General features: G+C 43.0%; 1 protein-coding gene across 3 annotated transcripts in view, besides 6 other annotated features; it reads right to left on the reverse strand.

Moving 5' to 3' along the window:
- The window catches only part of SMCO4 (single-pass membrane protein with coiled-coil domains 4), a 75,508-nt gene that overhangs the window by 27,449 nt on the left and 26,371 nt on the right, over positions 1-21,688 (reverse strand). The gene's annotated exons all lie outside the window — the stretch shown is intronic.
- Positions 6,146-6,205: an enhancer, noted in NCBI's record as "active region_5390". NCBI's record gives its function as "activates an Ori minimal core promoter by ATAC-STARR-seq in GM12878 lymphoblastoid cells {active_cell/tissue: GM12878}" and the evidence as "EXISTENCE:reporter gene assay evidence [ECO:0000049][PMID:35858748]".
- Positions 6,916-6,965: an enhancer, noted in NCBI's record as "active region_5391". NCBI's record gives its function as "activates an Ori minimal core promoter by ATAC-STARR-seq in GM12878 lymphoblastoid cells {active_cell/tissue: GM12878}" and the evidence as "EXISTENCE:reporter gene assay evidence [ECO:0000049][PMID:35858748]".
- Positions 18,180-18,279: an enhancer, noted in NCBI's record as "active region_5392". NCBI's record gives its function as "activates an Ori minimal core promoter by ATAC-STARR-seq in GM12878 lymphoblastoid cells {active_cell/tissue: GM12878}" and the evidence as "EXISTENCE:reporter gene assay evidence [ECO:0000049][PMID:35858748]".
- Positions 20,728-20,827: an enhancer, noted in NCBI's record as "active region_5393". NCBI's record gives its function as "activates an Ori minimal core promoter by ATAC-STARR-seq in GM12878 lymphoblastoid cells {active_cell/tissue: GM12878}" and the evidence as "EXISTENCE:reporter gene assay evidence [ECO:0000049][PMID:35858748]".
- Positions 20,858-21,027: an enhancer, noted in NCBI's record as "active region_5394". NCBI's record gives its function as "activates an Ori minimal core promoter by ATAC-STARR-seq in GM12878 lymphoblastoid cells {active_cell/tissue: GM12878}" and the evidence as "EXISTENCE:reporter gene assay evidence [ECO:0000049][PMID:35858748]".
- Positions 21,408-21,457: an enhancer, noted in NCBI's record as "active region_5395". NCBI's record gives its function as "activates an Ori minimal core promoter by ATAC-STARR-seq in GM12878 lymphoblastoid cells {active_cell/tissue: GM12878}" and the evidence as "EXISTENCE:reporter gene assay evidence [ECO:0000049][PMID:35858748]".

Consider the following 21,688-nt stretch of genomic DNA (forward strand, 5'->3'; position numbering starts at 1 on the left):
TTAGCTGTGCCAGACATGGTACTTGGTGCTCCTGCCCACCAAGATAAATATGAAACCTGGCCCATAGTCTACAGCCCACTGGATGAAATCATTGCACACGATTATAACCAGAAATGCTGAATATACACACGTGTGCATTTATACACACATACACACCTATACATGTGTAGATATATAAATATGTGTGAATATGCACACACACACACGGGGAGGGAGAGGTGGTGGTGAAGATGAATGTTCCGGGTAGAGGGGGCATGGAGCCAAGATATGGAAAGCGAGAGAATCTAGAGCATGCAGATGAATGATGGGCAGTTTAGTCTTACCCACTGGTTTTTGAAGTGTGGCCCAAGACCCTTTCTGGGAGTCCCGCCAGGTCAAAACTATCTTCAACTGTGTTGACACTTACATTGCTGGTGCAAAAGCAATAGCAGGTAAAACAACTGGTGGCTTAGCATAAATCAAGGCAGTGGCATCTCACTGTATCAGTGGTCATTATATTCTCTACTGCCACACACACAGCTTTTTTTTTTTTTTTTGAGATGGAGTCTCGCTCTGTCGCCCAGGCTGGAGTACAGTGGCACGATCTCGGCTCACTGCAACCTCCACCTCCCAGGTTCACACCATTCTCCTGCCTCAGCCTCCAGAGTAGCTGGGACTACGGGTGCCCGCCACCACGTCTAGCTAATTTTTTGTTTTTTTTGTAGTAGAGACGGGGTTTCACCATGTTAGCCAGGATGGTCTCGCTCTCCTGACCTCGTGATCCAACCGCCTCGGCCTCCCAAAGTGCTGGGATTACAGGCATGAGCCACCACGCCTGTCCTTAGCTAAGCGTGTCCTTGATGAAGCAGTAAAATTATTAATTTCATTAAATATTGATTCTTGAGTACACATCTTTTTAATATCCCATGTAACAAAATGTTAAGCGCACTCATTCGGCACTTCCGCTGCAGGCCAGAGTGCGGTGGTTGTCTTTGGGAAGAAAAAGTACTTGTGTGACTGAGCTGCAAGCTTAGCCACTGTTTTTCACAGAACACCATCTTTCCTTGAAAGAATGACTGAGAAAAACTATGATTACTCAGATTTGGGTATTTATAGACACTTTGTCAAAAATAAATACAGTGAGCCTGTTATTTCAAGGAAAACTGACGGTATTTGTTGCTAAAGACAAATTTTGGGCTTTCAAGCAAAAATTAAAACTTCGGGGCCGGGTGCGGTGGCTCACGCATGTAATCCCAGCACTTTGGGAGGCCGAGGCAGGCAGATCACCTGAGGTCAGGAGTTCAAGGTCAGCCTGAACAACATGGTGAAACCCTATCTCTACTAAAAATACAAAAATAAGCGTGATGGTGGGTGTCAGTAATCCCAGTTACTCGGGAGGCTGAGGCATGAGAATCACTTGAACCCGGGAAGCGGAGGTTGCAATGACCTGAGATTGTGGCACTGCACTTCAGCCTGGGGGATAGAGACTCTATCTCAAAACAAATAAACAGAACTTTGGAAAACCTGTATCCAGTATTTTCAGCTTTAGAGCATCTCAATACTTAAAGACTTTTCAGATGAGAATGGCAATGACATTAACAAATGTGATATGTTGATATTTTTCTAAACGGTGGTATTAAATGTGATATTTTGATATTTTCCAAATGACTAATGATGCATGATGTTACAAAATGATGTGTAAAAGATCCTTTCAATGGATGTGATAGGACAACAGACTTTAATGTAACAGCATTATGAAAAGTTCATTGATTGGTTTCAGAGTCTATGTTGCAACAAACCTTTACACCTGGGTCAAGTTCTGATATAGTTTCAAAGACTATCCACAATTAACTGAAAGGGCTATTAAAACACTCCTCCCTTTTCTAACTACATGTCTGTGTAAGGCTGGATTTTCTCCATATAGTTCAACCAACACAATATACTGCAACAGAATGAATGCAAAAGCATTTATGAGACTCCAGCTGTCTTCCATTAAGAGAGACATTAAAGAGATTTGGGAAAAAGTAAAACAATGTCACTCTTCTCACTAAATGTTTGTGCTTTGGAAATATTTACTTTTCATTAAAAATGCTACTTTATATTATCATATATCATATAATGGGTTTATTGTTATATTTAAACAAGTTTATAAATATTTTTAAATTTCTTTAATTTTAATTTCTAACACAGTAAATATTACTAGATACAATCTATACAAACAAAAGCTCTTAGGGGAATCTCACTAATTTTTAAGAGTTACATAAAGGGGTCCTGAAACCAATTGTGGAGAACTGCTGAGCTAGTGTCGTAGCGGGCAGGTGAAGGGAGGGGGACACCACTGGTCTCCAACACTGGGATGGGGCATTCAGAGCTGATCTTCAAGAGCCTATGAAGGGTGCTGAGTACGAAAATGGTATGGACAGATTTGCCTTTTAGAAAAAGCAAGGACAGCATAAAAGTGCCTCTGCTCCATGAACATATGATTCTGAAAACAAGTAAGTATGATAAGAAGTCAAACTGTAGGGCGTTGAAGGTCCATTATTACAACCTAAAAAATGAAATACAAATTTCTATAAAAGAGCAGGAAGAGAAGAATATTAAAATGTAATGATTTAAGAAAGAAGAAAAGCAGGGTCTTGCCAAATAGAACTGCAACTGAATGGAATTCTGCAAAATGAGGGAAATCATTAGTAACAAAGTGCAGGGCTTTAAACATCTAAAGATGCCAGAATCAAGATGCATTTCAGGCAAGTCTGGAAAATAAAAATAAAGGAGTCAGCAAAGAGCAATAAACTACAGCAGTAAAGAGGGAAAATGAATGCAGCCAAGAAAAGATGAACAGAAGCAGTTAGAAATAAAAAGAAGTAGTGAGGAGAGAAAATTGGTTCCTATTTCCAGAGCATGGACTCTATCCAATCAGCACACACTCCACCACTGGAGGTGGGAAAAGAAGGAGCAGGAAACACTTCCAGAGCAAAGTAGACCTCTGCAGAGCCTGGACGAGCAGACCCACTGAGCAATGACCTCATCTAGGTAAAACTGGGTTATACCAATTAAGAACAGAGGCCATATAGAAGAGACAAGAGACAACTATTAAAAATTGCTCACGGCCAGGTGCAGTGGCCCATGCCTGTAATCCCAACACTCTGGGAGGCGGAGGTAGGCAATTTACTTCAGCCCAGGAGTTTGAGACCAGCCTGGGCAACATGGTGAAACCCTGTCTCTACCAAAAAAAAAAAAAGTTAGCTGGGCATGGTTGCATATGCCTATAGTCTCAGATACTCGGGAGGCCAAAGCAGGAGGATCGCTTGCACCCAGAAGCTCAAGGCTGCAGTGAGCTATGATTGCACTGCTGTACTTTAGCTAAGCAACAGAATGAGACCCTGACTCAAAAATGGAAAAAAAAAAAAAAAGTTGCTCACAAGGGGCTTACAAACAGCCATCATTTTCTAAGTCAAAGCAATTATGGGAATGCAAACTGGTACAACCACTATGGAAAACAGTGTGGAGATTCCTTAAAGAACTAAAAGTAGGACCACCATTTTATCCAGCAACCCCACAATCCCAGTATCTACCCAGAGGAAAAGAAGTCATTATATGAGAAAGATACTTGCACATGCATGTTTACAGCAGCACAATTCGCATTTGTAAAAATATGGAACCAGCCCAAATGCCCATCAATCAACGAGTGGATAAAGAAACTGTGCTATACATATACCACGAAAGACTACTGCGTCATAATAAAGAATGAAATAATGGCATTTACAGCAACCTGGACGGAACTGGAGATCATTATTCTAAGTGAAGTAACTCAGGAATGGAAAACCAAACATCCTATGTTCTCACTCATAATTGGGAGCTAAGCTATGGGTGCAAAGGCATAAGAATGATGCATAAGAGTGGACTTTGGGGACTTGGTGGGGAAAGGATGGGAGCAGAGTGAGGGATAAAAGGATACACACTGAGTATAGTGTACACTGCTCAGGTGATCAGTGCACCAAAATCTCAGAAATCACCATCAGAGAACTTATTCATATAATCAAACACTACCTCTTCCCCAAAAACCTATTGGAATAAAACTAAAAAAGCAATTAAAAGACTAGTTATAACTAAAAGAGAAGGAGGTCCTATAGAGAACTCCAAACAGGAGACCGCGTCAAGTTTCTCAAACTCTCTGGACTACAGTTTCCTCTTGCATAAAATGGGGAGTCCACCACCTACTTGACAAGGTTGGTGTGAGCATCATGGACTCTGAGTACAGGTCTGGTGAAGGGCAGATGCTCAACAAATGAAAGCTGCAATTAGTATCACCCTAGTTATGACCGCAGGGCCAAAGTGGGACCTACAGTTGTCACTGCACTAGCCTAGGCCAGAAAGCTCTCCAAGCTCAAATGTCAAGGTTTCAACAATCACCAATGTGTGAACCTAAGAAGGAATTTGAATGGCTTTGGCCTTAGGGCTACAGTCACTCTGCTGATGAAAAAACTGCCCTTGACCAACCAAGGCCTGGATCTAAGTGGAAAGGCACACTGCCAAGCACAAGGAGATCCAAGAAAGAAGAGATTTTTAAAAAACAGTCACTTTTCCTGAACAGCCAACACTGCCATGCCAGGGACCTTTTACACAATCTCCCAATTGTCGAAAGCAGCCCAGATGTAGGCTTGTATGCTGTTACCACCCACCCCCAACCCCACTGCACCCCACCACAGTTTTATGGAACAGGAAGCTGTCTCATGGCTGAATTGCAAAGAAGTGGTGTAGTCAGGTCCTCCACCTCTTGATCTGCGGCTCAGGACTCCTTCACTACCACACTGCTCAGCCCACAAGGACTAAGGGCCTGCCCAACAGATGTAAGCCAGCAGCTCTTCATCTAGTTAGAGCAGCACACTGGGGATCCACAGATTAAAAGACAAAAACAGGCCACTGCAGTGGCTCATGCCTGTAATCCAAGCACTTTGGGATGCTGAGGTGGGCGGATCACTTGAGGTCAGGAGTTAAAGACTAGCCTGGCCAACATGGTGAAACCCCATCTCTACTAAAAATACAAAAATTAGCCAGGTATGGTGGCAGGCACCTGTATACCCAGCTACTGCGGAGACTGAGGCAGGAGAATCACTTAAACCCAGGAGGCAGAGGATGCAGTGAACCAAGATTATACCACTGCACTCCAGCCTGAGAGACAGAGCAAGACTCCGTCTCAAAATGGGACAAAAACAAAAAGCCCACTCAAAAGATTTTGACCCACCCACAGAAATAAACATGTCCAATTAAAAAAAAATGCTTTCTAGAAAGGTAAGACAGGAAGAAGAAAGGACTATTTTGACAGGGATAGACGATTCAGCCAAAAATGAGACCCCTCCCTTCCTTCACCTCCCACAGCTAATCAAACACCCAGTTAGGTTTTCCCTGACTGTCATGCCAGACGCTGCCCTAGGGACTGATGCAGGCCAGCCTTTGTGCCCCTGAAGTCAGCAAGGAACTACAGCAGGTCCTCAAATAGCATCATTGCATTATAACGTTGATAAAAAGAAAAAAAAAATCAATTCCCAGCTGGGGCCACTGTCTGTGTGGAGTTTGCACATTCTCTCCATGTCTGTGTGGGTTTTCTCCAGGTACTCTGGTTTCCTCTTACATCCTCTACAAATACCTAACTTGAACATCCCAAAGATGTTGGAGTTAGGCACTTATGTGTCTAATGGTCCCCATCGGAGTGGATGTGAGCGCACCTTGGGATGAAACTGTGTCCTACGCAGGGTGTGCTTATCACCTTGTGCCCTGAGCTGCTGGGAGAGGCTCCAACCACATGCTACTCTACACTGGAATAAGCAGGTTAGAAAATGGATAAATGAATGAATACAAATTATTGTCAAAAAAAAATTCATAAAGTATAATCATACAAATGCAGGACATTAACAATGTGGTCTGAAAGTGCTCAGTGAGCTGCCATATTCGTAATTGTTTTTAAACTGCACGGTAGGAGGAGATGACCCTGGTAATTTTCATTTTGTAAACATGACCACCCTCACTCACTGATCCACCAAAAACTGGGTCAATAGTGATCTCACTTGTTCTTATTAATTTTTCTTAAATGTAGGTATAGCTGCCATTTACTTCAGTGTTTAGTATTAGAAGTGTTTGGGGTCTTTATTTAGAAGTTTGGTGATATTTCTGTGCCAGAAATATGCAATAGGAATTTAACTCTTGTTTACATCAATTAGCCTTCATAAAATTGGTTTCATTATACATGGTTTCACTTCAAGTCATAGTTTCCAAGAACCCATGTATGAGGTTAAATGAGGACTTAGTGTACAGTCACGCACCACATAATGATGTTCTGGTGAACAAAGGACTGCATATATGACAGCAGTCCTCTAAGATTATAATGAAGCTGAAAACGTCCTATTGTCCAATGATGTCATGGCCATCATAAAACCGTAGCACAAAGCATTACTCCGTGTTTGTGGTGATGCTGGCATAAGCATACCTACTGCACTGCCACATAAAGAGTGTACAATGATGTCCCAGGCCTTCACATTCACTCACCACTCAGCCACTGACTCACCCAAAGCAGTTTCCAGTCCTGCAAGCTCCATTCATGGCAAGTACCCTATACAGGTATATATTTTTCAAATCTTTTATACTATATTTTTATTGTACCTTTTATATGTTTAGATACACAAATGCTTACCATTGTGTTATAACTGCCTACAGTATCCAGTATAGCAACATGCTGTAAAGGTTTGTAGCCTAGGAGCAATAGGCTATAGACACATTGTCTAGGTGTGTAGTAGGCCATACCATCTAGGTTTGTGTAAGCACACTCTACAATATTCACACAACAAAACTGCCTAATGATGCATTTCTCAGGATGTGTCCCTGTCATTAAGTGAGGCATTGACCGTATATCTTGGTGGCTCCAGTAAGTGCTGTGAAAGGGTACTACAATACAATACAGGGCAATACAGAGTACTATGGGAGCAGGTCATGAAGGGGCCTAACTAAGTCTGAAAGGCCAAAGGCAAAGGCCCTGAGGTGTTTCAAAGCCTGGCACATCTAGAAGCTGAAAGGCAGTGGGGCAAGAGGATGGTCGGCAGGCCCGAGAGGTGTGGGGAAACCAGATTACACAGGGCCTTATGACCAGACTTTATACTATCCTAAGAGCATGGGACCCATCAATAGTGAAGAATCATCCAACTTGCATTTTATAAGCCTATTGTGGCTGCAGTGTGGGGGCTGGAACACTAATATTCTCTGTGACCCTGGGCCAGCTTCTCAAATTCTCTGAGTTTCAGTTCCCTCTTTTGTAAAATAAGGATAAGCATAATGGTACCTACTATACAGGTTGTTGTGGGAGATAAATAAGTCAATATATGTGAAGACCTTAGCAATGTTAGCCTTTTTTTGTATGTGAAACTATTATACACAAACACAAGTTTGACAAAATAAAACTCAAACTTAAACTACATGTAATTTACTCTAATGTCTCCCATTCTACTATTTTTTTATTTTGTTAAATGATGGGGGGGAACCCCTAAATTAATTTCAGAATGAGGTAACATAGGTCATGACCTGCAGCTGGAGATGGGTTAGACTTGGGTGATAGCAATGGAAGAGAGGGCAATAGAGGTGCCAGGACTTGGTGGATGATCAGATAGAGGTGATGAGGGAGACGGAGGTATCAAAGATGCTCTCAAGCCTCTGGATTGATGACAGTGCCAATTTTGAGATGGAGGGCCCAGGAGGAAGAGCAGGTTTGTCTGTGAGAGGAAGGAAGACTGGACTCCTCAGTGGAAGAGGATTTGGGTGGAGGTGACAAAAGGAATCTTCACTTATACACTTTCCCAACCAAGATACTATATAGAGAGATTTCACATCAGAATCGTAGTTATTAATAAGGAATGCATTTTCCCAGACTGCTCCGTGAGGGGGACAGCCTTTCTGAACCAAGCACAGCAGTAAGTGACTGAGGGAGGACTCTGGGATGTGGGGCTCCCGCCAAATGTCTTTCCTTATCTGACCAACATAAAGCACTAATCACATTTAATTAGAGTCCATTTGCCCATCTGTTTCCTCTACTAACCAAGCTGCTTCAGGGCAGGGACCACCTGGTTTCATCAATCTCTTTATTCCCCAGACCTCCTTTGCATACTGCCCTGCATGCTGCCTGTCGTAGGTGCTCAACAAGCATCTGCTGAATGAATGGTCATGATTCCACATGATGGAACTCCTGAGAAGGCCATTTCCAGTGCAGAAAATTAAAGTGGGGAAAATGGAAGGAGGGATACAGAATCTGTTAGGAGAATTCTGATCACTGAGGGCTATAGGCCAGTGGTTCATGGCAAAAATTAGTCTACAAAGAAAATGCTAAACTCTGGAATGGGCAATTGGCATGGGTCATCAATATAATGATCAGAAACATTAAGCAGATCTGGGAAGGAATCAGGAAGACAAAGGAAAAATAAAACAGGATGAGGCTATATATATATATATATATATATATATATATATATATATATATATATAAAATTTGGTCTCTTCCAAAGATCACCCTAAGTGTGTAATTCCTGACATCAATTCCCTCGCTATATTTTTCCATCAGCTCTACACCTCCAAGAAGCCTCCCCATTTCCAATCCTCTGCCACCCTCCAAACCCCAGCTGCCTCACGTATTACTTTTTTCCATACGTACATGATTTATTTCCCTAATAAACAAACAGGAATGGTGTTACATAACTTCTTATCCACTCCACTGCTACCCCTTGCACAGAGGAGGCACTCAATAGTATATTCAATTAATAGCTGATTAAATGATTTCGGCATTCACATTTTCTAGCCTCATTCCCTTTAGTTGCAAATGGTTTACTGAAGGTATCGTTTTTAATAGTAACAGCTGCATTTGTTCAGCATCTACCACATACCAGACATAGCTAAGGACTTTAAACACATCGTCTCCTATAATCCTCCATCTGCAGGGTTGGGGTAATTATCCCCATTTTACAGACTTCAAGATTGAGGCTCAAAGAGACAACATAGTTAGATAAGTGGCATTCAACACTGGCATTCAAACCCAAGGCTACTTAACTCCAAGGCCAAATAAATGCACCATTACTCTAAAATTTTGGCACCATTATCCCTGGCACAGAAACACGAAGAAAAGCTCATCTGACCTGGAGGCAATACTCTCTGCTCCCCAAAATATAATTAAAACTCAACTCAGAGAAAGCTTTTTTTTAGGTTTGGAAAGGCCATAATTTATCAAGAGCCATTCATTCATTTCCTACAAATACACAGGTCAGGTCAAGCAACTCTGTGATTTTAAAAAGTGGAGCGCGTTATTGGCACCATTTGTTTCTGAAAGAATTTTAACGAGAAAACCAATGATGTGCAGAACAATCAGATCATTAGTGACAGGTAGTTAGTAAAATAATCACAAAATGCTAAAGCCTCCACTTCTTCTATGCTACAGTCCCCCCAAGCTTCCATGTTCATTATTTTATTGGATCATCTCTGTAACTGTGAGGTAATTACTTGTATATCACTGTATACATGAGGAAAAAATTAGAGTAAGGGAAGTTCAATGAGTTAACGAAGGTCATGTCTGTTACTCAGGACCCTTGGTTATAAGTAACAAAACAAAACACCTTGGCAAAAGAAAATTTGAAATAAGGAAGAGAGGCCAGACAGGAGGGAATTTCCAGGCGAATACACTCCCTTCTCTGCTTCTCTCTGCCTACAAGTTCCTCCTACTCCAAGCCAGCTGCAGCAAGCCAGCTTTCTCCTCCAGACAGGAAACCAGGGTCACTGCAGCTTCACGTTCCCATTTCTCTGGCTCCACCACCCCAGAAGAAAAGGCTCTTGGGCCTCAAGTTCAAAATTCCAGGGAGATGGGCTTGAACAAATGTGCACTACACCACTGTACGTCTCCCCAGCCCTATCTATGCTGGGCGGATTGGCAGCAACACAACAGCAGCTCTGTCCAAAGACACCTATCCATCAAATCCTCTCCCCTCTCCAGTCTGACCCCCTTTTAATAGCTTTGACCTGGCAAGGGGTCCAAATGCAGTAAAACTGGTTCTGTTTTTCCTTTGTAATTTCTACACAGGAGGCTGCTTCACATTCATTTGGGGCAGGGAAAGGCCCCATCTTAACATCCTATTACATGGCTGCAATTACTGCCTTGGATTTTCTTGAGGCATTCCGGTTCTCATAATAAATTATCCCTTTTACTAAAAAAGATTTTTTAATTACAAAAATTAATTATAATTAAAATTGTACCAAGACCAAGAACACAGGAGACCAAGAACCATGCTTGGCAGGTCCCGGTAATGGGTAAGGGAGAAGTAACACCCCTGAAGAAGGGAGAATGCCGGTCCCAAAAGAAAGAAGGGGAGTCAGGCAGATAAAGTAAATAGAAATCCTGTAAACATAACTGCTAAGCTCTGTTCTTCAGATCCCAAGTCCAATAATCTTGCTTCTTTCTATACCACAGTTTACATTATTTGGGCACTAAATTGTGAAGTACCAACAGTAAAGAACCACCAATATATAAAAGGTGCTAATTGTGCATAATGACATTTAGCGCAAACGGAATTAGAAAAGAGAGAGATCGTCTAGGCGTGGTGGCTCATGCCTGTAATCCCAGCACTTTGGGAGGCCAAGGCGGGTGGATCACTTGAGGCCTGGAGTTCGAGACCAGCCTAGCCAACATGGTGAAACCCCATCTCTACTAAAAATACAAAAATTAGCCAGCTGTGGTGGTGCGTGCCTGTAGTCCCAGCTACCCGGGAGGCTGAGGCAGGAGAATCGCCTGAACCCAGGAGGTGAAGGTTGCTGTGAGCCGAGATCGTGCCATTGCACTCCAGCCTGGGTGACAAAGCAAGACTCTGTCAAAAAAAAGAAAAAAAAGAAAAAAAAGTAGAGAGAGAGATCTACATACCCATTTACATTCGAGTAGTATCCTAATATTAGAAATCTCTACAATTGTGTGCTAAGAAGAAACAAAAACTTCTTTACCAGTGAAAGTCAGACTAGCCTTCCCTGCCTCATAGCCCTCTGCCTTCCACCTTCCCTTAAAGCTGGATGATGGGAGCCTCTCCTTAGATCCAGGGTTTCTTTGTCCTCTACTCAGCTGGAAGGTTCACCTGGGCCCAGGTGATGATAAAGACCTTTCTTCCAAGGAAGAAAGCAGGAATCAGAAACATAAAATACATTTACAAAGGGGACCCCAGTAGCTGAGTTTCCTACAAATGCCAGAGGGCTAACAAAAGATGCCGGCACATCTCCATCGATGTGTGCTCAACACTGTCTCACAAAACCAGCTCCAGAATGAGACCACCCAAGCATGAAGCAGAGAGCTCAGGAAGGGAAGTGGGCAGGGGCTGTCACCCTACTGCTGCCTTACGACTGCCGTAATCCAATTGGTTTTTTCTTCTTTAATTTAATCAAGCACTTAATTGAGCCCTTGCTGTCTGGCAGGCACTATTCTAAGTGCTTTAGAAATATTCTTTGCTTTAGTTGGTAGAAATCAGCTCCCAATAGCATCACTGACTGCACATGGTTATGGCAACTTCTAAAAAGAAATTTAGAGAACAAGATTTTTAAAATTCTTCTCAAAGGTCTAACCCAAACCTAGATGGCTGAAATCAACTCCAATTTCTCTAGTTCCAGCACTTTGCTTCTCTCCTTGAGTCCACTTTGTTCTTCTCCTTCCACAGAACAGATAAAGGTTAATATTTATTAAGCACTTACAGTGTACCAAGCATTTTATATCCATTATCTCCGCTGATTCTCACAGCAACCCTAGAAAGTAATGCTTTTATGCTCTTTACAGAAGAAAAAACAGGCTGAAAGGGGAGGCAACTCACCAGGCCAACTTGCCCCCAGGCCAAGTGACAAGCCAAGATCCCAGCCCCAGCAGCCTGACTCCACACTCCTTCTCCTACCCGCATTGAAGTACCCTGCTAGACAGCAACTCTTGTATGGTGTCACTGGAAAAGCCATCTTTTGCAAGAACACATATGCTGCCGCTCCAAATTGTTTTTAATTGAAATGAAATGCATATAACATATATCAGACATTTTAAAGTACATAATTCACGGCATTTAGACATTCACAATGTTGTGCAACTGCCACCTCTATCTAGTTTCAAAACATTTTCATCAACCCAAAAGAAAATCAGTATCCACTTGGCAGTCGATCCACACAACCTCTTCCCTCCAGCCCCTGGAAACCATTACTTTGCTTTTTCTCTATCTATGGATTTACCTATTCTGGATAATTTGTATAAATGGAATCATATAATATGTGGCCTTTGGTGTTTGGTTTCTCTTACAAATAACATGTTCTTGCGGTTTATGCAAGTTGTGGCATACATCTGTACATCATTCCTTTTTATTGCTGAACAACATTCCATTGTACAGATATGGAGATACCACATTTTGTCTATCCATGTATCCACTGATGGACACCTGGCTGAGTTACTTCTACCTTTTGACTGTCGCTAATAGTGCTGCCATGAAGATTTGGATTCAAGGATTTAAGTCCCTGATCCAATTCTTTTGAGTATATAACTAGGATGGAGTTGCTGGGTCTTATGATCATTCTATGTTTAACTTTTTGAGGAGCCATGCCTTTTGAAATATTTTTAAAATTTGAAATTCTGCAAAGAAAAGCCAGAAGGAAACTGAAAACAAAATGCAAACCTCAATGAAATCAAAGGAGATAACCAGTCTCATCTCATTTGAATAAGTTCAAATCTGGGCAGAAGAAATCCAAACAGTACACTTCTATGTTTTTGAAAGGCTAAGAGAAAAGATATGTAATTCTACCAAATAACTAAGAAGGGGTTGCTGTATCTCCAGGATATTTTTAACAAAAAAATCACACCTAAGCCAGGGCTCCAGTAGGAGCCATGTGACTGGCTATAAGACTTTTCAACCAAAGAAAACAGTCAAGAGGACAAGCATAGGCCATTAACAGGGGCGGCCTTCTGTGATCAGAGAAGGCTGAATTCCCGCCCTGGTTCTCATTTTTAGTAAGACCACTCTTCTCTTTGGAAAGATACAAGTCTCTAATGTCAAAAAATGACAGCACTCTTTTAAAAACCATCTTGTGTCCCAACCCTTAAAAGACTATTTCTAATTAGTTCTAAACTGTCAGCACTACTTAAGAATGGCTTGCTGGAAATTTAGCCTGGGACCAAGGGAAAGATACGAAAGCATCAGAACCAACCCAGGGTGCACATATGCCCTTGTCCTGCATCTGGTGTTTCAGCATTTTTATGAGGCCTAGTCAGTAATGATCTTAACCAGGAGGACAGTGGCAAGATGGGAATGCAGAGGGACTGTAACAAAGGAGGATGCACGAGTGCCTTTAAATTACATGAAAAAAAGAAAAGTTATCTGAAGAACACAGAAAGTGAACTACAAATGACAAGACTGAGTCTTTGCATACAAGCAAGACACTGACATGACAGGAATGGCTGGCAAATCAGGTAATAGGCAAGTGACTTGGCAGCATTCACTGGGCAGGTGTTCAATTAGGCAGGAAGTGGGCTGAAAACAACTCAATTAATTCATTGTGCATGCCTGTCCAAGAGAACAAGATAAACCTAAAACATCAATGGCAGACCAGAGATTAACTCCACAGCTCCATCTTTTGCAAAAGTAGGGGCTAACAAAGATGCATGTGCAAAATATAAAACTACACCAAGATGAGCTCTGGTGAGCTCTTTAAAAGTTCGAACTAAAACCAAGGCAAAGAAGGAAACAAAGCAAGAAGGTGGCTTATTATGGATCCAGAAAAGCCATTCCTTTCTCATGAGTGGCTCTCAATGGCCAGCCTCAGATATAGGCAGTCCTCAGTACTTGGGTTGAGAAGTGTGACAGGTGCAAACACAAACATATTTAAAAAGTCAACAGCAAAGTGATGGGCTCACCCTTACTTGTAATATCCCCTATGTGTGAGGCTCTCCCAAGCTAAGACTTAACTCCAATGCCAGACCTATAGTCTGAATACACTAGAAAAAAATATAAAACCATGAGGAGTCATTTGGCAGAGCCAGAAAAAGAAAGCTACACTACGAACATAAAATCAAGCAAAGAAAAGCAAAGGTTAGCAGGGCCAACATCTGGCAGAGCCACTATAGGTCCTTACTGGAAAAGGGGACTCAAACCCTTGCAGCCCGGATGGCATCGCTCAGGCCTGATGAGAAACAAAGCATGCTGCAGGTGGGGCAGAACGTTTGTACTAGAGGCATCTGGACAACTCCCTTGTTTTAGAGAAAAGAATCCTGAAGTTTAGGAGTTCAGCAACATACCCAGGGCAACTGTTAGCAACAGCACAGCCAGGTGTATAATTCTGGGCTCCTGGAAAGACCTTCCACTAATAATACTGATGATGATAATGATGACGGTAACAACTCTTATTCACTGAAGAGTTTAGGAGCAGACATTGCATTGAGGGTTTTACATGTTACCCCGTTTAATCCTCTCAACAACTTACAAGGTAGCAATTCTCTTATTAACCCACTTTACACACAGGGTGCAGAGAGGTTAAGGCACCAAAGTCAAACACCTTGTTGGAAGCACAGGCAGGACAGGAACCTAAATCCAGCTAAAAGTTTCTGCTCTTGACCATTATACTTAACTATCCCTAAACTATATTGCTTCCAAACAAGGCAGAAAAGGCTATTTTCAACTAAAGTATAAACCAGCAAGTTTTGACCATTAGATAATTTTTCACATATACTACCTTTTCCTATCAAGATACAAAGACAATCAACACTTCGGGATATAAAGAACAAAATTATTTTGACTTTAAGGAGAAAGAAGGCTCAAAACTCTCCAGCCTGGAAAAGAGAACTGAACAGAGACCCAGACTTGCAAATTAGGGGCTAAAGCCAAAACCAAGTCTCTTTGGGATTTCTGTCCAGTGCCTTTCACCTTCAGCATGTCACGTATTTTCAAGGACTTCGTTCTAAGTGCACAGTGGTGCTGCTAGGCTCAGTGAGTGATTTCAGAAATCAGTATTTACCAAATCTTGGAGTTTCCACTAAAATTATCACTGTGTCGACACAAAACCACCAGTTTAAGCCTATACATTGCTATATTCAGTTTTAGGAAACTGTTGTTTTTGATGAAAATACAAAGCACCTGGCTTTCCTAAGAAATGTCATTTATATTCTCAGATTCCACATGCAGCCATATCTCTGGAAGATGCTGTTTTCTCTAACTGGCAAAACCAGGACATCTCTTTGTATGCACACACCTGCTCTGTTGCAACATTCACTTCCTTTCACTGCCACAGCCAAACCACAGATTAGAGCTACAAGTTTAGATCAAGATCAATAACCATCACAGATCTGCAACTCTAGAAGGGGCTCCTGCAGTGGGCCTGGCTCCAGCTGGTGCCCTGGGACCCAACATGAGTCACTTAATCTCTCTTAATCATAAAACGAAGGGCAGCAGATAATGCTTACTAACTGCTTATCAGATGCCAGGCACTGTGCTAAAGCCACTAAACTCGAGCTAACTCATCTAACTGTCATAATACCTGAGGTAGGTACCCTCATCATACCCTGCCTAAAGATGGACAAAGTCAGGCTTAAAAAAGTTACCCAAAGTCACACAACCATGACACTGCACAAACAGAATTCAAACACAGGTTTCTCAGACTTTAGACCCCAAGCTCTTAACTATCACACTCGGTGTCTTTCTGCTTTCCTCATTCATAAAGCAAGGGTAAGAATACCTGTCATTTCCTTGCAGAGACAGTATTCTGCAAATTGTCCTTAACATCATTCTGACTATTCTTCCAGTCTGAGGGGTGAACTGTTACAAATTCTCCCAGACAGACCAACCAATCAGCTAAGTACTCAGTACTGGACTAAGGATGAAGGGAACATAAAAGAGAGAACATCCCTGCCGCCAAGGACTTCGCAATCTAGCCAATACCAATCGAAGCTATAATCTCTCTCAGATATTTTGATCATTGATCCACAGTCAGAAGTGTATTTCTATTATGGCCTGGGAGGGATGCACCTACACACAGCCTTACTGTGTGTCACACATTGTTATTTTTCACTGTTCTATTTCATTTAAAAATGTATCAACCCACTAAATCAATTCTCTGACTGTGGATTGTGATTAACAGTTTGAAAAGCCCCAACTCTAGCCCCTTTTTGGCACAAACTTTAAAACAAAACAAAAACAAAATGTCAGGAAGTTCTTCCTCAGACTAGTTTAAGTTTCTTGGGCTATCGGGTTAATTGGATTTGTATCGCTGAATATGTCCTCAGGGGCAGATGCACCAGCATATCCGATCTGTGAAGGGTATAAAAAGTGGACTCCTGCAGGCCCACATTCAAATGCTGACTCTCTGGCATGTTAGCTATGTGACTTCTCCAGATCTTGGTCTATAAAACAGAAGATAATTCCACTCACCCCTCTGGCTTTTTACAAGGGACCTACCTGGTACTGGTTCTGTCTTTCTCAGCAGAGGGGCTGTGGGCATGGGAGGAAGGGAGACAAGTCTGGTCATGTGGCACGACCAGTTTACGCAACACAAGACCTGTGGTAGCCAATTCCACCCCTCGGCCTGCTACCATGTTAAGTGATTCGAAATCCTTCAAATCTTTTATGCAGGCATCCGTTGTATTCCACATGGAAGTACAATAAATAAGATGCCTAAGATATAACAGGGCATAGGCCAAGTCTCCGCCATTGTAGAGCTTGCTGTTAATCTAGGCAGGTGGCCAGGTAAACAGGTAACTGTAACTGACCGCACCAGGTGGTATAACATAAGTCTGGGAGTCTGATGAGAGAGTGTCTGATGAGAGAGTGTCTCATGCAGGGAAGTCTAGTCCTTGATCCCATTTGCAATTCCCTTAGTGTCAAAAACCACACCTTGCAAACTTCTAATTTATAACACATAAAGACTTAAAAACCACTACCACCACACTGAGGACAAGAATCCTTGTCTGTAGCCACAGCAATAAGAGGGCTATCAACTCCAGTTCTATCTCCCCTACGAGATGCTAAGTTCCTTGAGACCTGAAGTAAGAGAATTGCTCAAGATCACACAGCAAATACACAAAATTGGAAACCCCAAAGATCAAAAATTGCAGGTCACTTTGCTGGTTCCTCTGGAATTTCCCCTATACTTGTCTAGGCTCAAACATAAAAACTAATGTGGAAAGGAGAGAGAGGAGAAGGGAAAAAAGGTCTGTCACTAGGTGACCAAAAATGTAAGAGCTGGCCAAGCACGGTGGCTCATGCCTGTAATCCCAGCACTTTGGGAGGGCCGAGGTAGGAGGATTGCCTGTCCCAGCTACTCAGGAGAATTTCCTGAGCTCAGGAGATGAGCTGTGATCACGCCACTGCACTCCAGCCTGGGTTACAGAGTGAGACCCTGTCTCAAAAAAAACAAAAAGACTTACCCACTAGACGCTGATTAGGTCTTTGAAGAGGTGAGACCACGCCGGGCATAGTGGCTCACGCCTGTAATCCCAGCACTCTGGGAGGCCAAGGCAGGTGGATTGCTTGAGCTCAGGAGTTCAAGACCAGCCTGGGTAACATGGCAAAACCCTATCTCTACCAAGAATATAAAAAATTAGCTGGACATGGTGGCACATGCCTGTAGTCCCAGCTATTCCGGAGGCAGAGACAGGAGAATCGCCTGAGCCTGGGAGGCAGAGGTTGCAGTGAGCTGAGATCATGCCACCGCACTCTAGCCTGGGCAACAGAGCAAGACCCCGCAAGAAATGAGACCAGAAAACCTCAAATTTAGTTTTTTAAGTCTTTTCAAGATAATTATACAATCAGTGAAAGTGTGTGTGCTAAAAGTGCTGACACGTCCAATATGTAAATTTAAAATACCCCGCTTTCTAAAATCGTGTTTTGGCATTTCCTCATTTTTAAAAATACTGGGCATTTCTGAGAGGCTGTGTGGTTAACATGGACTTCCTTAGTTTTGGTTTCCAGTAAATGAAGCATATATCAGCACCCCATTCCAAAACCAAAAGAATGAGAAAACCTTGGAAAGATTCTAGCTGAAACAGGGTTTTTAAGCTTCATCCTCTCCTTCTTGTTTTGGGGGAGGAAGTGTGCAGGGAAGATCAGTTACTAATGCCCTTCAGGGGAGGGGAGTTTCTCAGGCCTCAACCTCTGTAGCTGAGATCTGTATTTTCTTCAAGCCATCCTGGTTGAAAAATAAAAACAAGCGATTACAACACATTGAGCCTGGGTGATCTCACATACACTATCTCATATATATCTTACCACAGCCTCTTTTAGATTGTACTATCATCACCAATTTATAGGACACAGACTCAGAAAGGTTCAGTAACCAGCTCAGGCTCACAAAGCCAGGAAACGGCCGGGAGGGAACCTAGGATGGGACCACACATTCCTGAGGGAGAAGAGAACCCTACTGTGTACACGATCCCCAGGGCATTTGAAGAGGGCATTCTTTCACTTTCGGAATACAAGCTGATTTTAAACAGGCATCTTCTCGGTTGTGTTTTATGAAACTTACAGGGGAAGCTATGGTATAGAAGTATGCTACCTAAGAGTGACTTCCCTTAAGAATCCCCATCTGTAAAATGGAGATGATGACGACCACTCCCTGGGAGCACTGGACAAGACTTTCTGGGCAAAGTCCTGAAAACTCTGACACTCCACAAACACAAATGACCTGGAGCAGCAGCATTACTGCCAGGCCCCTGGAAGTAGCTTATGGGGACAAACTGAAGAGAAAGGCAAAACACACACTCCCCGCTACAAAAGTGCTTAGTCCTCCAAAATGCAGGGAAGGCACGGAGTACTGATGATGAGGAATGGTGGGTCAACAGCCAGTGCACACAGAGGAGGTGGTGCATCCAATGCGTTCCCCACCTATGTTAACTCACAGATCTCGCCTGCTCACTGCACTCATCCAAGGTCTTGGGCAAGGACCCACAGAAAAATAGTGAAACAGGAAAAAAATCCAACAAAGGGTATAAACTCAGAATTCTGTGATCCAGTCACACCAGAGTGACATCATAAAACATAACTCCAGTTCCACAAAGACAGATGCTTCCCTGGGCTGGGCGGCCCACATCCCCAACACCCACAGCTGGCCTCTACTCAGAGGAAGGTTGCACTCAACCCACAATGGGCCAAGGAGCCACTACTGTACTGCCACTCCCAGCTGTGGTCAGAATACCCTCTCCCAGGGCTCCTGCTGCCACTTCCAGCTGTGGCCAGAACACCTCCCAGGGCTCCTGAGACCACTGTGCTATGCAGCAAAAGGCCACACTCTGATCAGAAGATCTTACGTTTGAATCTCAAGCACTGCTACTTACACACTGGGTCTGTCAGCAAATTACTGCCCCACTGATTCTCAGGTCTTTTCCTCTGTAAAATGGAGAAAATAATAACCACTTTCTGAGCTTGTTGTGAGGATTAAATGAGATAATCTGCATAAAAGGCAAGGCACACAGCAACTGAAGCTATTATCCAACTTGAAGCAGAGGCCAGCTAATATTGGGTAAAAATTAAATTTGATTCCTTGAAAGAAAAAAGTTCCATAGAGTTAGTGAGGATCAGCAATTTTCAGAAAATTTAAGGAAGTGAGGTGGAAAAATTCCACTCCCCCCATTCCTAAAGGGTTTTGAAGCCCACCCACTCCTGGCTCTCCTGCAGGAATAGAGAACTGCAGTGTCTCCAGACTCTTCCCACTTTATAAATACACCCTACGACCAACCAGAGAGTGCTTGCTGCCAAACTCCTGGGCAAACGCGACCAACAGGATTGGATCCGGAAATTAGATGTCCAAGCAGCCCAGTCATACTCAATTCAAAATAGATATCTGTGACCTACTTAGTCTTCGAGTACCATTCTCAAAGCCAAAAAACAAGACAGGGCCACTGACTTCAGCAGAGCCCTGCATGGGCCCCTGCTTTCCTGTCAGATGAAACGTGCACTGCAACAGTGATGACTCAAGAAATTATCTCAGGATAGCTGGACAGAAACCCCAGCTTGGAAAGAGCTGATTCAAACAGTTGTGAAAAAGCAAAAAGTCACAGAAGTCCTGCCAACAGTTTATCCTCTCTGACTATCCCCAATAATCCATCTTCATCCACTTGGACTGAGGGTTACACCTCTCATGACAGGGACTTCTCAAGCTGTCTATCCCTAACACTCATATTGGTTTGAGTATACATATCTTCCCATAAAACAAGGGATTCTGCCTACTGTACCTTGATGTTCTACAAAGCATCAAGCACAGAAAGGGTCCAATGAAGAGCAAGCACCACCCAAGGGGGACCCCCTCCCCTCCCCAGGGGCAGACCACCAGGTTCCAGCCCACTCACACGCTTGGCTGCTCAAGATTAGAGAACAGAAACAGACAAATATTTGCTAAAAAAAAAAAAAAATTAGGAAGACAAACAAGACCAGGGAAAGTTGCTATGTACTTTCAACCACCGCAGTTACAGAATGATCTCCTAAATTACAACTCATTTCACCAAAGAGATGAGAGTTTTGGGGAGAGTGAATCCAAGGAATTTGGCAGGGACAAATTCCAGTGAAATCCTAGAGCATTCAGCACTAGGCAGTACAACACCAGGTAGACAGTGGAACATTATACTTCACCAGTGAAGCGATGGTAGAGGAAACAAGCTGCTGCCAAAAACAAAAATGAAATAAAGCAAACCTGCTGCTCTTCACATCCGCATCCATCCTCCTCACATCTCCAAGGTCAGCCCCACTGTTCTCACGCACCATTGTACACTCAAAATTCTCATCAGAGAAACTTCCTTGAGAGCCCTGTGGTTTCCTCAGCACTTTTTCCCTACATCATGACATTTAATCATCACCACCATCCTGGGAGGCAGGTGGAACAGGCATTTTTATCACTCACTGAGAAATGAGGAAATGGAAGCCTAAGTATGTCTACCACACGGCACAATCAGGACTAAAGTACAGACTAATTCCCAAGTTCAATGTGTGTTCTCCAAAATAACCCAGACCTGACAAGGCCACATATCTGAGCTCTAGGCCATTGCCCTTTCCACTGCACTGCTGAGGACCTTCTAGAGACAGAATTCCGACACACAACCCTCTCAGTACAGCAGCCCACTCTTCAACCTTCTCAAGACACAACAGAGCTCACAAACCAACCTTGGCAACCGCTGACAGGCAGCACCTGCGTCAGCCACACACCCTAAATCGGGCTGACCACCACCTCACTGGCAAACACAATCCAACCCCTAGAGTTTCAAAAAAGAGACATACACTAGCAAATGGCTTTCTACTGTCAAATGGTGGGCAGAGGCAGAAGAGTGATCATGGACTCCAACTGTTATATACCACAGATCCCAGGAACCTGGGACCTTTCTGAGTATGTCAGTTCTGGGTTCAAATCCTGCCTCTGAAGCTGACTAGCTCTGTGACTTTGGGCAGGTAGCTTTGTTTCTGTAAGTCTCAGCGTCCTCATTTATCACATAAGGGGTTCCAAAAAAAAATCTCTCAGGGGATGTGGTTAAGGCCACAAAACTATACACTTAAAAATAGTTGAAAAGGCAATTTTTTTCCTTGAGACATGGTCTCACTGTCACCCAGGCTGGAGTGCAGGGACATGATCACAGCTCACTGCAACTTCAGCTTCTTGGGCTCAAGCGACCTTCCCAACTCAGCCTCTTAAGTAGCTGGGACTACAGGCACACACC

The sequence above is a fragment of the Homo sapiens genome, chromosome 11, assembly GCF_000001405.40.
Source record: "Homo sapiens chromosome 11, GRCh38.p14 Primary Assembly".
Lineage (NCBI taxonomy): Eukaryota > Metazoa > Chordata > Mammalia > Primates > Hominidae > Homo > Homo sapiens.